Source organism: Homo sapiens, chromosome 16 (genome assembly GCF_000001405.40).
Source record: "Homo sapiens chromosome 16, GRCh38.p14 Primary Assembly".
NCBI lineage: Eukaryota > Metazoa > Chordata > Mammalia > Primates > Hominidae > Homo > Homo sapiens.
The window spans coordinates 82,870,217-82,885,537 of NC_000016.10; the positions used below are offsets into that span (position 1 = coordinate 82,870,217).

The window sequence follows — 15,321 nt, forward strand, 5'->3', positions numbered from 1 at the left end:
CCAACCTCACTAATCATCAGAGAAATGCAAAAAAATGTATATATAAACATATTCTCTCCCTGCAGTTAAAATGGCTTTTATCCAAAAGACGGGCAATCATGAGTGCTGGTGAGGGGGTGGAGAAAAGGAAACCCTCATACACTGTTGGTGGGAATGTAAATTATTACAGCCACTATGCAGAACACTATGGATGGTCCCCAAAAAACTAAAAATAGAACTACTATATGGCCCAACAGTCCCACTGCTGGATATATATCTAAAAGAAAGGGCTGGAAGGGTCCTGGGGAGGGAGAATAAAGTGGGGTTGGTTAATGGGTACACAAATACAGCTAGAATGAATAAAATCTAGTATTTTGTAGCGTAATAGGGTAACAAAAATTAATAATTTATTATATATTTTACATACCCAATAAGATGAAATTGGAATGTCCCTAACACAAAGAAATGATAAAGGTCTGAAGTGATGAATACTCAATTACTCTGATTTGATTATTACACATAGTATATCTGTATCAAAACATCATAGGTCCCCTCTAAAAATATACAACTATTATGTACCCATAAAAATTTAAATTACTTTTTAAAATATTAATCTATGTAAAGGGTTTTGAATAGTAGCTGACCTATAATGGTCCCTGAAATATTAGCTGTCAGAAACAGCATAGGGATGATTGTAGCTGAAAGCTTGCTATGGCCCTCCAATATTTATCTTTCTGATATCCAGTAGGCTTCCTAGTTAACTCTGCCTGTCCCACATGGGCATCTAAATTCACCTTCAGGAAGTCACTATTACTCCTAAGACTGTTCATGGAGTCAAATGATGTTCCATAGAAGACAAAACCATCTTGAAGTTTTTGATGCTGTCTTGTTTCTGTCATATCAGTAACACTATTGACAATACCTGCTATTCACTATCAAGGAAGCAGAATACAGTGCTAAGGGGTGAGAGGACATGGGCTGGCTGGTGTTGATCAAAGACTTTGAAATCTGTTTTCAGTGTTTTGAATTGTTGATACAGGTAATGTATGAAAAGGGAACCATGTGGTCAGACAGGGTGGCTGGCTTTCTGGAAGTTCAGAATAGGAGGAAGGTGAAAAGGATGAGTGGGCATGGCTCAGGCTGCCATGGAGCCATTTCAGAAGTCCTGAGATGGGGACAGTTTGTATGTATATCAGAGGAGAGATCAACAAGGGAGATAGGAGTGTTATTGGGGAGCACTTGAACATGAAATAAGTGAAAGGAGAGCCCCAGGGAGATCCAAGGGTTGACACTAACAGGCATCTAAAAGAGGTTTTCCGAAAGAGAAGCAGAATCACTGGAGTCTAATCCCAGCTCTAACTTTGACTTGCATGACAGTTTTCCTCCCTGGACCTTTGTTTTTCTCATTTGTATAATGAGAGCTTGTGAGTTGGGCTGTTTTGACTGTAATCAACAGTAACACAACTCCAACTAGCCTCAGCAAAAACATATAAAATTATCAGCTCACATGATTGAAAATTTCACAGTGTGAGTTGGCTTTGGAAACACTTGGATCTAGATGCATTAATGATATCCTCAATATCACCCTTCATCCCCCAGCTTTGCTTTCTATAATATTGATCTCAATCTTCACTCTCAGAGGGTTTCCCTCCAAGATGGCCACCAGCAATTCCAGTCTTTTATTCTTCTAGCTAAAAGAGCCAGAGCATCTGTTTTCCCAGTGTTCCAGCAAATATCTCAAGGCTGACCGTCCTTGGACCAACTTGGTTTACGTGCTTATCCCTAAGCCAGTTATTATATCCAAGAAAATTCTGTACTTCTCTTAGCCAGGCCTGGGGAAATGGAGATGAAATTCCCTCAAGGAAGGAAATGATGCTGGGCTGGCAAAAGTCAGACAGTCCGTTCTAAGGGTATTGTGCTCTGTTGCTAAGGTCCCATTAAGTACTAACGTCTTATGACCGCAGACTGTGCCCCAAGCCTGAGAATTTTTAGAACCCAGCATACACACAAATGGAAATGTTTTTTAGGTGGCAGGGGATAAGGACAGCCATCACACCAGGTTTCTTGCTGGTGATGCTGGTGAGCAGATTGCTTAATTAAGACTATCAAATTCTAAGTGCTGCCATATGGCCTCACTCTTCAACCTGTTGAGTGTCTTCACTCACTTGGTTCTGGAGCTGGTATAAATCTGTTTCATTTCTGTTTTTCTTTAAGGAATTAAGAATACAGGAACATACGGATGTTACAGGAGCATCTCCTAATTTAAGGTATTAGAACTACATAAACTGGGCTGCTTTAATAAGTAAGGCATCAAAATATAAATTGGGAAAGATTAAGCATAGCTTTAAATAGGCTGAGAAAGCAGAAGTTCTTATTATTCTGTTACAGATCAAATCTACACACATTCTAGTAATAGAGGTGCCCTCTATTTGTTCTTTTCACCTTAATGTTGATGGAAATTTTTTTGGCTTGAGAGCAAAAGGGCAAGAGGTACAAATGCTTGCCAGTCAAAATATCCCCAAGGACTTCTGCATTTGACAAAATTCATTCTCCTTCTGGAGATAGAAATAGGGAATGGAAAAGGAAAAGATGTATATTGAGTCCCTACCACTCATTTAGCCAACTATAGAAGAAACACTGAATGATCACCTAGTTTTTGCCAGACCCTGTGCTAAGTATAAGGGATAAAGCTTTGAATCAGATAAAAAATGTGCCTCCTGCTGTGGAGCTTTGATGATATCAGAGAGAGAAAAAGGCAAACATGATATAATAAACCCTTGAGAACACAGGAAAACGGCACATGACAAGACGATGGTTAAGTATCATGAAGGAAATAAGGCAAGGTCATATGATAGAGATTTCTGCATGGCTGCTGAAGAATGGGTGGTCAAAGAAGATTTTTCTAAGAAGCCAAGTCCTAAACTATGAGAAGAATCCAGTGAGGTAAAAATCAATGGTATAAACACTTAGGCTGAGGGAGTAACTCATGTCAAAGCCCTAAAATGAGAGTGGGTTCTTCAGTTTGAGATACTGTGATCCAGGAGGAGGGCTGTCATTTGATACATTTAATCATCTCAAATGTCTTGCAAATAGGATTATAAACTCTATGTTATAGATAGGGGTATAAAGATTGACTAAAGAGCCCAAGATCTCACTAAAAAGTGTCAGTGGTGTTACAATCCTCTGACTCCAAACCCCATTATCTTTCCATATGGAATGCTGTAGCTGGTGTTGGAGTCTTCTTTCACAGTAAAGTGCTCCTGTCATTGCCTCTGAGAACAGACTGGGGTGTCCTTGATAGTTTCACAGGACAGTGGTGTGGGCTCCTAGGTTATATTGCCTGTCTCTGTCACTCACAATGGGTGGTGTTTTTAAGCTACCCAAACTTCCAGCTCCTAATTTTTCTCATCTGTGAAATGGAGATAGTATTTCAAGGATTAAACAAGATAGCACATACAAAGGAGTGACAGCAGTGCCTGCTACATGCAATATTTTTATTTTAAAAAGTTGGTTGGTTTTATCCTTTAAAAGAATAAGGCTGGGGTGGGAAATCTCTGTGGGATGATGCTGTTTGAATGGGTAGTGCTGGATGCCCACCAAAGATGACCCACGAAATTTTCAATATAGCTTGGCTCCTCTGAAAGAGAGCATATTTTCTTCCTACTTCTTCTGAGACTCTCTTTTAAGTATTTTCATGTTCTAGGGATACTTGTTCTCCCCCACCCCTGACCACTTCTCACTCATGCTTGGTCTCTTTGAGCTAAATGTTAAAAACATACTCTATGAAAAATATTTGAGAAATTAGTACTCCCAATTTTAGGTCCAGATGTGTTCTGGAATTTAGAAAGATAATAAGATGCACACATTGTATTACACGATTCTACGAGCGGGGTCTCGGGCAGCTCCCTGTATTAAAACAGGTTGGCATTTCAATAGTAAAACATATGAATGTTTACCCTCAGTAGGATAAATAAGGACCACAAATAACATCATGTCAGTTCAGGTTGGGTTTTGCTGCCAAATGAGTTATAAAAACATGTTTGGTATGCTGAGTCTCTTGGATTTCAGAATTGCAGATTGCAGTCCTTAGAACATTCCCGTGAAAAGTTGCAAACCTTAGTCGTGCTAAGATGTTGAGTTGGCGTCTTCACATCCCGGCCACTTCTGGGAGCAGCAGAGTGTGGTGGCTCAGCCCACCCCTCAACCCCTCTACTACTTGTGAACACCTTGGTAAATGATGTCTTGGCAGGCCACCCCCGAGAAGTGGCCAAGTGCTGCACCAGCTTTTTTCTTTTCCATTTGAAGCCAAAACGATTGTCAGCGATCCAGGCTTCTCTTAACTGTGCCTGTCAGCTGATTCTGAAGACCTCCCAGAGGATCTATTTTTAGCTAAAACTGGTTTTAAATTTTCATATGTATACATTAAATTCCATAGAGGAAGGGGGGATTCCAAATGAGGAAACATTGATTCTGAATAACATAAAAGAAATAAGCAGTGCTTGAAAAACAGTTCAAAATATGAGTCAAAACCTCCCAGGAATATGGTTAGCACTGCATTTTTCCATGGAAGGAAGTCTGTTGAATTGAAAACAGAATGAGAGTAAGTGGGGATAAATTATACTAAGAAAGAGACTCAGCATGAAATTCTAGGTACTGAAGAGGGGAAGGAGAATAAGAATAGGGAGGACTGAACTTAGAGGGCAGTTGGGATTGCCAGATGGATACTCATGGGGATGTGTGGCCAGGTAATCAAATCGCATTGTCCAAAAGGGACATGGAGGCCATGGGCTAGGACCAGGCTTTTGGCCATACTCAAGAGGGAGAGAGAAGATACACCTCCCAAATAAAGGCCTGGAGTCTGCACATGACAGCTTTGATTATGCTTCCAAGGTTTTGTTCATTTTTGGGGCATGACCAAGGTAGTTCTAGAATGAGTGAGGCCAAAGCTGAAAGTGTCACAAAGTTTTTGCGTATGACAAAAGTTGCCTGCTTTGCTTTTGGATGCTCAACTCAGACTTCTTGTTTTCATGATGTGCAGTTTTGATCAGGACATTTTAGTGATAGGTATAGCCTACTTCTGTACCAAAGGAGAGGTTGGATTATCTGTTGAAAAGCGTTTTGTTGGCTATAATTACAATATGATGACTTAGTTAGGATTCTGATAAATCCTGACTAACTCAAGACTTTAAAGAAAGATACTTAATTAAAATAGAAGGAAGTTGCATAGTCACAGGTTCATCCAAAGACCTGAATGACAAGGTCTCAGAAAGGACAGAAACTAGAGAAGTTCCATGGGCTTAAGCAATGGGAACTCATAGAATTAGGACAGTGCTTTTCAAACTTTTACAGTGAATGACGATATTTGTTTCATTTTGTTTTGTTTTAATGTGTCACAGTAACATACTTTTGTTAAAGAAAAATGTCAAATATAGTTTTCAAAAAGTTTAAAACATGACTCACATTCATATCTAAAGTGAACACATCAAAGATTTTATCTATCTCAACAATGCAAAAGGGGACCAATAAAATGATAAGTATGATTCAAAGAGCATTCGAGAAACTAGCTATTTGCATGCAATTTAATAGTAAAGGAGTGTTAGAATAAGTTTGCTAGGTTACATACGAAGCTGGTTAATGTCCTGTATTAGTCTGTTTTCACACTGCTGATACAGACATACCCGAGACTGGGCAATTTACAAAAGAAAGGTTTATTGGACTTACAGTTCCACATGAGTGGGGAGGCCTCACAATCATGGTGGAAGGTAAAAAGCATGGAGGAGCAAGTTACGTCTTACATGGATGGTGGCAAAAAGAGAATTTGTGCAGGGGAACTCCTCTTTTTAAAATCATCAGCTCTCATGAGACTCATTCACTATCACGAGAACAGTACAGGAAAGACCCATCTCCATAATTCAGTCACTTCCTACCGGTCCCTCCCATGACATGTAAATAGTGGGAGTTACAATTCAAGATGAGATTTGGGTGGGGAGACAGCTAAACCATATCATGTCCTACAGGACAAAAAACTGTAACCTCTGTGGTTATCTTTTCTACCCATCATTACTTGTATCTCTGCCAGACAGAAATCTGTGAATTAACATGTAATGTTGTTAAGCCTGAAACCATCATTGAGTAGTGAATAGTACATTTTCCTAGATAATTAAATAATCTTTGAATTGACAAGTTAATGCCTGTATACGACATTGAAAGAACATGCAACCCACATTTTTGTCTTATTTTCAAGTTTTGAACCTTTTTTCTTAGTAATATAATGAAAATCAAGTTTTGTAAAATTAAATAAATCCAAAGACATAAAAGGTAAGCTTTTAAAAAAATAGATGGAACAGGTATAACATTACTATGTCACATTGCTTTCAACTTCTGTACTCGTCATGGGCCCCTAACAAGAGGTTGGGCATTGGTCTGTGGACCACACATTTAGTGTTAAGATAGGAATAACTTAACTCCAAATACCTTCCAGTTTGGGATGTCTTTATTCAAATTCCTGGTAGAGAAGCTGATTGGCCTGGCATTGGGTCAAGAGCCCACTTTGTGGTCTAGCAGACAGGTATCATGTTTGGAAGCCCATTCCCTAAACTAGGGACTGTAAACAAACAAAAATCAGAAGCATCCATACAGTTACTGAGTTTGGAGAGGTAGCCCAAACAAGGGGAGGACTTGGGCAGTGCTGAGCTCTGACCATAGAAAAAAAGTATCTGGGAACTATCTCAAGCGTCATTTAGGCTCCCCCATTTCAAGCATGCACCCAAACAGCTCATATACTATACAGTAAATACAACTTCTCAAAGTAGAAGATAACTGGTGTTAAAACAAGACTACATTTATGAGAACTCACTTCCATAAGGGCAAATACTACCTTAACAGAATCTCAGCAACATTCCAGAAGATGGAAGTCAGAATAGATATTTATAGGGCTTGTAGGGAGGGTATAGCCTCAAGCAATTTAAGATAGGAAGATGATTGGTATTGGGTAAATTCATGACATCTTGATTTAAGATTGTTAGACATAGCAAGATGAGTTTACTGAAATAAGTCTGACAAGTAGGTTATTGTTTGATAGATGAGCTATTTATCTAGCTAAGGAGACTGTTGTCCCAGATAAATTGATATGCATGGATTGTCCAAATGAAGCAGTGAAATTGTTCCTGGTTTAGAGCCTTATGTTTCGTGGACAAAGGTTTCTGTGAACAATTAAGTCAGGTTGACGAAGGTGATCTCAGTTGTTGGTCTTAAGCACTACGCCATGTTGATTTAGGTGGTCTGAATTCTCAGGACATGGTAGTTCACATTTGTTCCATGTTAGCATTTCCCAAACTTCTGTCTGTGGAACACTATTCTGCAGAGTGGTAACAGCAATGCAATGGGGGGAAACATATTTTGAAGTTAAGTAAGTTTGGGAAATTCTGTTTTGTTTTTTAATTTAAACTGTAGGCCCTCTCAAGTCTTTATGATGTGAAAATGCACAGTAAATATTCCAGAAAGCATGCAAAAATACCCCAGAATCTAACTCCTTTCCAGTCTGAAGAGCTCCTCAAATCTCTCCTAAAGTTACTTGCTTTACACACAGCCACCTCTATTCATTTTTTTTTTTTTAAATTTCCAGTAGCCAGTGTAACCTGGGGGCCAGGGAAGACCTGAACCTCTAGGACTCAAACCCTGTCATGATTCTTGAGGAGAGAGGAAGGTGGAAATACATACATACACATAGACACACACACACACACACACACACACACACACACACATATACACACACACACACTCTATATATGTATATATATTCTCATTCTGCTAAACTAATCGAAAGTAAGATATAGTAAAATGTTTGAAAATACATATGTGCAGCTTTGAAATGTCTTCCCATATCATAATGGCTGTGGAATCAGCCTCAGAAGCCAGATTGTCTGAGCCCCAAGGAAACGTCAAACCCCTCTCCCTCTCCAGTAGCATTCCCCAGTCTGTGTCACTTAGACGAAAAGGATCTCAGGGTGGGTGGCAATGCTCCTTCACTGAAATCTGCAGTTATCTCTACCCAAGGCTTACAGTAAATTTTTTGCAAATTAGAAAGCCCTTTGCTCTCTCAGTAAACCCTGGCTTTCAAGATTTTTGTTTTAGTAAAGTCTTTAGACTAAATGTTGAATCTTTCACTCTCTTTGCTCCTAATCATCTCTAAGACAGCAAATGCCTCTAGCAAAAAAGAGGAGACGTCAACTGGGAAAATTTGAAGAGAAAGTCACACAGATACATTTCAGTAAGGTTGTCTCTGTTACTTGAGGCTTACAAGAAGGAAAGAATTCCCTCTCTAAACACACTCTAAACACACAGGAGTTGAGAACGGGGAGATTTATTCCAGAACCCCTTCTGTGCGTTGGGGCTTCTGGTAGCTTGCCTTTCTTGGTAACGATTTTCTCAGAGACTGGGTAGATTCGAGTGGAGCCTGGGGCATGGTTGTTGGTCCAATGGCGGGGGTTGGGGAGACACAAGCAGTTGGCAGGGAACTTACAAATCTCCAGGAGGTTATTGAGAATAAAAATTCAGATATTGCCATCTTTTCCATTTCAAAGCACCAAGAGTCTGTCATCAGCAATTGTGCCTTTCTAGGTGTCACCTGAATATCTAACATTGAGGCATTGAAAGATAGATCAGGACTGATTTTACTGAGCATTTTCAAAGGCAGCAGGCAGGCTTTTCAATGCTGCATGAGATCCTCACCTTCTCTGAGGTGACAGGGGCTTCTGTTTTCTTGAGTTTCCCTGTTTGCTGATGTCATCCCCTCCTACCCCATGACCATGACACCAACTACATCCATGATGTATATTTCCAATGTGTTTCAACTTATGGTCAGCTCCCACCAGCTCCATATTCTGGTGGGATAAGCAAGCCTTGCCTTGAGCTTTGCAGGCTGGGCCCATGGTTGTGGACATCACAGCTCTGGTCCTCATAGTATTGGTGGCAGGCAGATGCCCAGCTCTGGCACCTGAATGCTTGGATTTGGATGCCAGCTCTAATACTTACTAGCTCTGTAACCTAGAAAAAGCTCCTTAGCTTCTCTGCACTTTAGGTTTCTTTTTTAAGGAACACTGAAGGAAAATCTGAGGCTGGTACAGTCTCTGCTTGGCAAATGGTGGTTATTTCTATCCATTAATGTCATCTGATCATGGCCCCTCAAACCTCACTTTGAGCCTTGTGAGCAAATGATACATACTGTTTATATATATATTTTCCTATATATGTAGAAAAATATATATTAAATAAATATAAAATATATAATTTAATTAAATATATTTAATATATATTTATAGTATATTAATATTTAATATATACTATATAATATATACATATATTGTATATTTTATATACAATATTATATATTATATTTATATGTAATTGTATATTTATACATAATATAAAATATCTATTATATGTTACATATATTTAGATATAATATATTTTACATAAATTATAATATATAATAATATAACCAGTATGTTTCATTATATATAATATATAGATACATACTGATTATATATGAGTATATAACATATTTACATGATATATAATATATAAGTATATAAAATATGAATATATATTATATAATTTATAAATATATATAAATTATGCAAATTATATTTGTGAATATATAATAGATTTATCTAAATATATGTTATATTTAGCTATAGAAATATATATTATATATTTAGATATTATAGAAATATATAATATATATTATAACATCAGTATGTATCATTATATATAGATCCATACAGATTATATATTAATATATAATAGATTATATTAATAGATCATATATAATCATATAATGGATTAATAGATTATATATACTATTTATGTAATCAGTATGTATATATATTATTTCAAACCTCACTTTGAGCCATGTGAGCAAATGATACATACTGATCATACCTACTGATCAGTGTATATTTCAGTCTCTTTGTATCGCCCTATATATTTTCCACTTTGCAATGAGAGGCCTTTGCTTCTCAAGTGCAGCGTCCTCATGCTTCTCCCACCTGAACAAATTATTAACCCTGTAAACCGGCTTTCAGCAAGCTACGTGGATGAGGGGTCTGAAGGTTTTTAGTTTCTTATTAGACTGTCTCTCGTTTCACTTACATGGTACCCGCTGGGTTGATTGCTTCATATATCGGTGGTACTAATGTGGATATTGAATGTTTCACCTGCCGAGGGCCTTCATCTAATTCATACTGAGCACATAGAAAGGTGATTTGAATGGGGGCATTTGCTCTGTTATTTTGGTGATGGATTTAGGGAAATGGAAAGTAGCAAATTGCTTTGTTTTTGGACCTTTGCCAGGTCCATCCTGGTTATGGATAATACTTGCTTGGTTGATTGAAGAAGGCCAGCTGCTACTCTAATAGCCCAAGTCAATGGCCAACGGTGCCTGATTAGCAAGCCTGCTATGCTTACTGTAGTGAAAAACATCTTATAATTATAAATTAATACCCTTTCTATTATACATCAATATGCTGGTATATTTCATAAGTTGGCCAGCCCTTCATGACTAATATTGATATTAAGGTCAACTCTAGTTTTATGATACCAAGGCAAAGAACATCTTTAAGAAAATTTAGATACAACTCCTGACTTTGAATGAGGGAATTCATACTGAGAACCTCAGTGTTACCATTTGTAAATCAGATTAAATAATGCCCAACATCTGGGGCTTTGAAAACCAATGGGATAAACTTTGTGAGAACAATTTTTAAAGCCTTTAGACATTACCCCGTGGTGTCTAGTGTCTCTTCATATTTTCCTCTGGGTTTATCTTGACCCTTTCAAATGGAATGCGTGGATGCCATTAGTATTTATAACATTCATTTTCAGTGCTTTAGTATTGTTTTTTTCTTTATTGTTGTGTAATATGTATGGAAAAGGCATATAGCAAAGGGTGATCAATGGCTGGGCTTATCCTAATCTTTGTGCATGTGCTTGGGTGTGTAGAGGCTTCCGTTCGTGTCTCTGGGCCATCTTGCATAGGGGTTCAAGCTCCCATTTGGATGCCATGGGTTGAAGTCTCCGGAAAGCTGACCTCAGATGAGGATTGGTGTGTAGGAAGTTTATTAGGGAGTATTCTGGGGGTCATCTGCTGTGGGAGGGAGGGGAAGAAAGCTGGAGTCTGACAGTCTTATCAAAGGCTCAGTCAATATCACAGGGACTCTGAAGCCAGGATGGCTGTTCACAATGGTCCTGAGTTGGGGCAAGGGAGCCAAGCCTGTATAACTCCATTACAATCTGTTTTTGGATGTGGGCTGTGGGAAGGAGCCATGACCTTAGAGGAAAAGACTGTCTTTAGCCAAGGTAACCCATAGAGGACTGACAGGTGAAGGCTGTCTGCAGAACCTGGGAAACATAGTCCTTCCGTCCTGAAAAGGAATACAACAGGCACATTACAGAATTCACTACAGTCATCTAGAAAACAAAGCCATCTGGTATCCATGGAGACAGCTTCCATAGTCACTATTGCCCTTGGAGACAGACACCCACATTCCTAGTGTGGTTGCCTGACAGTGGTGAGGAGGAGGGGGCTGACTATCTGAGTGTCCCCCTGCGATACGATAGCATGTCACCTGGTTCATGACCCCCACACCCAGGTCTCTTTCCAGAGCTCACCCCTTTTTGAGGCTGGCACCACCCTGGACCCACCACCAGCTTCTGTGGCAGTGCTTACTCTGCTGTTTAACCTGCAGTACTAATTCCTGTCTTTCAAGAACTCTGTCTTTCAAGTTCCCCATTATTAACTTTAATGTATGATTATTTATGTGTATCTATTCATGCATCTATGTTTTTATTAATTTAGGTATGAGTGAGTCCTCAGCTCAGTCTGATTCACATCAGAGCTTTTTTAAAAAAATAAATATCAGGAATTTTTAGAGCATGTAAATTATGATTCAATTCACACTTGTCTTTTTATGAGTTACTGCCATGGTGTGAATAAAGCACACAAGTGTCACAAAGATATTAACATAATAATAAGCATTAATCTCCACTAGTAGAGTGTTACTAGGCAGGGTTCCTTCCAGCTGCCATATCAGGAATCCTTCCAGCCTGGGTACTAATGTCATCTTCCTTTGGAGACCAGGCATGAAGAGTCACTCACTTCCTGAAGTCACTGGGACTGAAATCCAGGCAGTCTGGCTCTAGTCTCCAACTCCGCTGCCAATGACCACCAGCATTGCAAACCCGTACACATGCGTATCAGGCAGACCTGGCCGCTGGCAGGCAAGCTAACCAGCTGTGAACCATGGTCACCGCTGCAGGGTAGGGCTCGATGATCAGAATGTGTTCCTTCATTTCTTAACCATGCTGGAAAAAGTATGTAGAGGGACTAAGGGTGTTTTTATTTTCTTTGGCTTTTTTCCTTCCTTCCCTCCCTTCCTATCACCCTTCCTTCTTTCCGTTCTCCCTTTTTCCCTCTCTCTCTCCCTTTCTTCCTTCCTTTTAGAAAAAACAAACCTAACAGTATGTATGTCTAATACATACAAAATCTGGTATTTAATTTTAAAAATTTATTCATACGCTTGGTAAGATTTTTACCAAGCCATTTGGTTTTTTATTCACTCTCTCTGATGTGGATCATGCCTATTCTCCTTCTTGGGATATTAGGAGAAAAAAAGGATACTATGATTTTCTTAAAATGGAGCTGTTTAAATGAAGGAAGCATGTATAAGCCTACCCCTTTAATGGGAGGGTTCAATAAATCCTAGAATTTGCCTGTAATGTGTAGAGGTCTAAAGAGATTTGTCCTATGAGAAAGTTCACTAATTTCAATTATCTGGGTTTTATTATCACCTTCTAAGGGTTAGAGAGACAGGATTTTATAGAATGCCATCACCTGAGGCTGTGACAATGGGGTTTCACACCATTAAATTCAGAAAGCATAAGAGAAGAGATAAGAAATGAGAGGGCTTGAAGTGCATGCCAGTTCCGTTGTGGAAAATATGACCTACTAAGCAGCTATGAGAAATGAAAGCAGGCAGTGTCATCTCATGATCTATTGCTATTGTATGTGAAATGCTTTCTATATTAGCTGTTGTTAATTACCATCATCCCCACCATCACATCATTGTATTTAATAGCAGGAGAAAGGAAGCAGCTGTTGTAGGCAAAGCTCTCACACTTGAGTGTCTATCAGAGTCACCTGGGGGAACGTGTGCAAATGCAGATTGCCAGGCCCTTTGCCTAGTGGTTCACAATGAGTATGATCAGGCTGGAACACAGGAATCTGCATGTTTTCCATCGACTATCTCAGCTGATTCTGATTCAGGTGGTATGAGGATTACACTGAAATAGCAAACCCATGCTTTGTCTCCTGTTAGTCTAGACAGTAGGCATCTTTCTGTTACCTCTTGGGTGTAATGTTTAGTTTAAATTTCAGTTCCTCATCTCTACGAGGGAGTCATAAATTTGCATCTTGCTCACAGAGCTGCTGTGAGGATTAGCTGAGCTCGTGCCCAGAATGGAGCAGCCTCTAATATTTGCTGTGCTGTCTCTAGAGAGCAACAGGGAGGCATTTCATGGTCTTCCCCATCTTGGTCCTCACTGTATCTTTCTGTCCTTACTCTGTGCCTGGGACAGCTTTAGGGCTTAATGAACATAACAGAATGCTGAAGAGCTCAGCCACTGGAGCCCAGCTGCTTGGATGCAAATCTTGGCTCTCCAACTTAATGCCTGTTCATGAGCAAGTTATTTAACCTCCTAGTACCTCAGTTTCCTCCTCTGTAAAATGGGCTTGATTATCATACCCCCATCATAGGTGTTTTTTTTTGGGTGTATGAGATGAATTATTATGACTACAACACTTAAAACCAATAATGAAGTGCCATGTAGATGTTCATTAGGTGAATAAATACAAATATTGTTGATTGAATGCATGTCTGCATGCACGCTGTTTCTTTCCTTATGCTGTTTCTTTCCAACATAATACAGATGTATTCTACTAGCTGACAGACTTTTAAAGTAGAGGCCACTTTTAAAAGCCTGGGCTCCCATGAGAAGGAAATCTGCAGGTATAAGATGGGTTTGTCAGTCAGCAGAGGCATGCTATTGAGAAAAGGAGGCAACCTGGGGAGGGGGTGTTAGAAGAGAGCTTGGGATTCAGTTCTTCTAACCAGGAGAGCTGACAAGTAACAAAATGAGACTCCTTCTGTTGTCTGTTGCAGTAGACAAAGCAAGATGCTTAGTTAACAGCAGCAACCCAGTGCCTGTAATTTTCAAGTCCTTGGAGGCACACCATGTCACCCAAGGTAAGCCAGGGGACACAGGAGGGAAGCAAGAGAAGCCAGGGAGAATCTATTTCCTGTGTCCCCTGTAGGTGTTTGACTCACCTAAAGTTAACACTAATAGAACATTTGCTCAGAAATGTCATCGCTGAAATAAACGTGTTAAATTTAAACTTGACTGCCCCAATTCATCTGTTATGCAATTGAACTGGAAACAGCTCAGACTTAAAAGGCATCTCCAAGTTTTTCTCAGCCAACAAGACTTAGGCCACTTTGTTTTCTCAGATTTTTCAGCCTTGTCCAATTTTTGGATAAAAATCCTTTTTGAAAACTTCAGCAGCCATATTATTTTCTTCTCCAGTCATCAACTTATAACGTAAAGACAAAGCTGTGGGGAAAATCTAAAGTTGCGTCAAATTTTTATTTTCTAGCCAGCTACAGCTCTAGTCTAAAGCTCTTTCTTTTGGGGAGAAAATCCCATTTGCACATTTCCTCTTAGTTGGGTGGACTTACCCATATATACTTGGGTGACATTCAGGAGGCTACTTTGTGTTTTGGCTGTGTATTCTAATTTTTCTTCCGGTACTATATACAGCAAGAGAAGGGGATGTTGTTCAGCTCTTGTTCTACCTAGAACCCAACTGCACTTTTGCAAGAGATGGATACAAAGATGGATGCATAATGCATGATAGTATATTATGAGCACTACTCTTATGGCTTTGCATTGTAAGTAATTTTAATGTAAAACATATTTCTATAGTCTGGTTACAAAAACAAAACATTTTAGAAAATTTGGTCATTCTCCTGAAAACAGCAAAAAGAAGAAAAAAAATCATAAAAGATCTGCTGAAAAATAATCAGTTTTATGTTTTTTCTTTCATGACAGCTTCATCCATCTATCCACCTATCCATTCTTGTAGCTCTCCATCCACCCACCCATCTATATACACCTCCCACCCCCCCACCCACTCATTCATTCATCCACCTACCCATCCATCCATCCACCCATCCATCCATCCATCCACCCATCCATCTATCCATTCATCCATCCATCCATCCA

At 39.2% G+C, this 15,321-nt stretch overlaps 1 protein-coding gene across 8 annotated transcripts in view, besides 1 other annotated feature; it reads left to right on the top strand.

Annotated features, from left to right (window-relative positions):
- Positions 1-15,321, top strand: part of CDH13 (cadherin 13) — a 1,173,672-nt gene that overhangs the window by 243,248 nt on the left and 915,103 nt on the right. The window lies entirely within an intron of this gene.
- Positions 11,036-11,246: a silencer, noted in NCBI's record as "fragment chr16:82914857-82915067 (GRCh37/hg19 assembly coordinates)". NCBI's record gives its function as "represses an EF-1alpha promoter that drives an FKBP-Casp9 reporter gene in an ReSE screen in K562 erythroleukemia cells {active_cell/tissue: K562}" and the evidence as "EXISTENCE:reporter gene assay evidence [ECO:0000049][PMID:32094911]".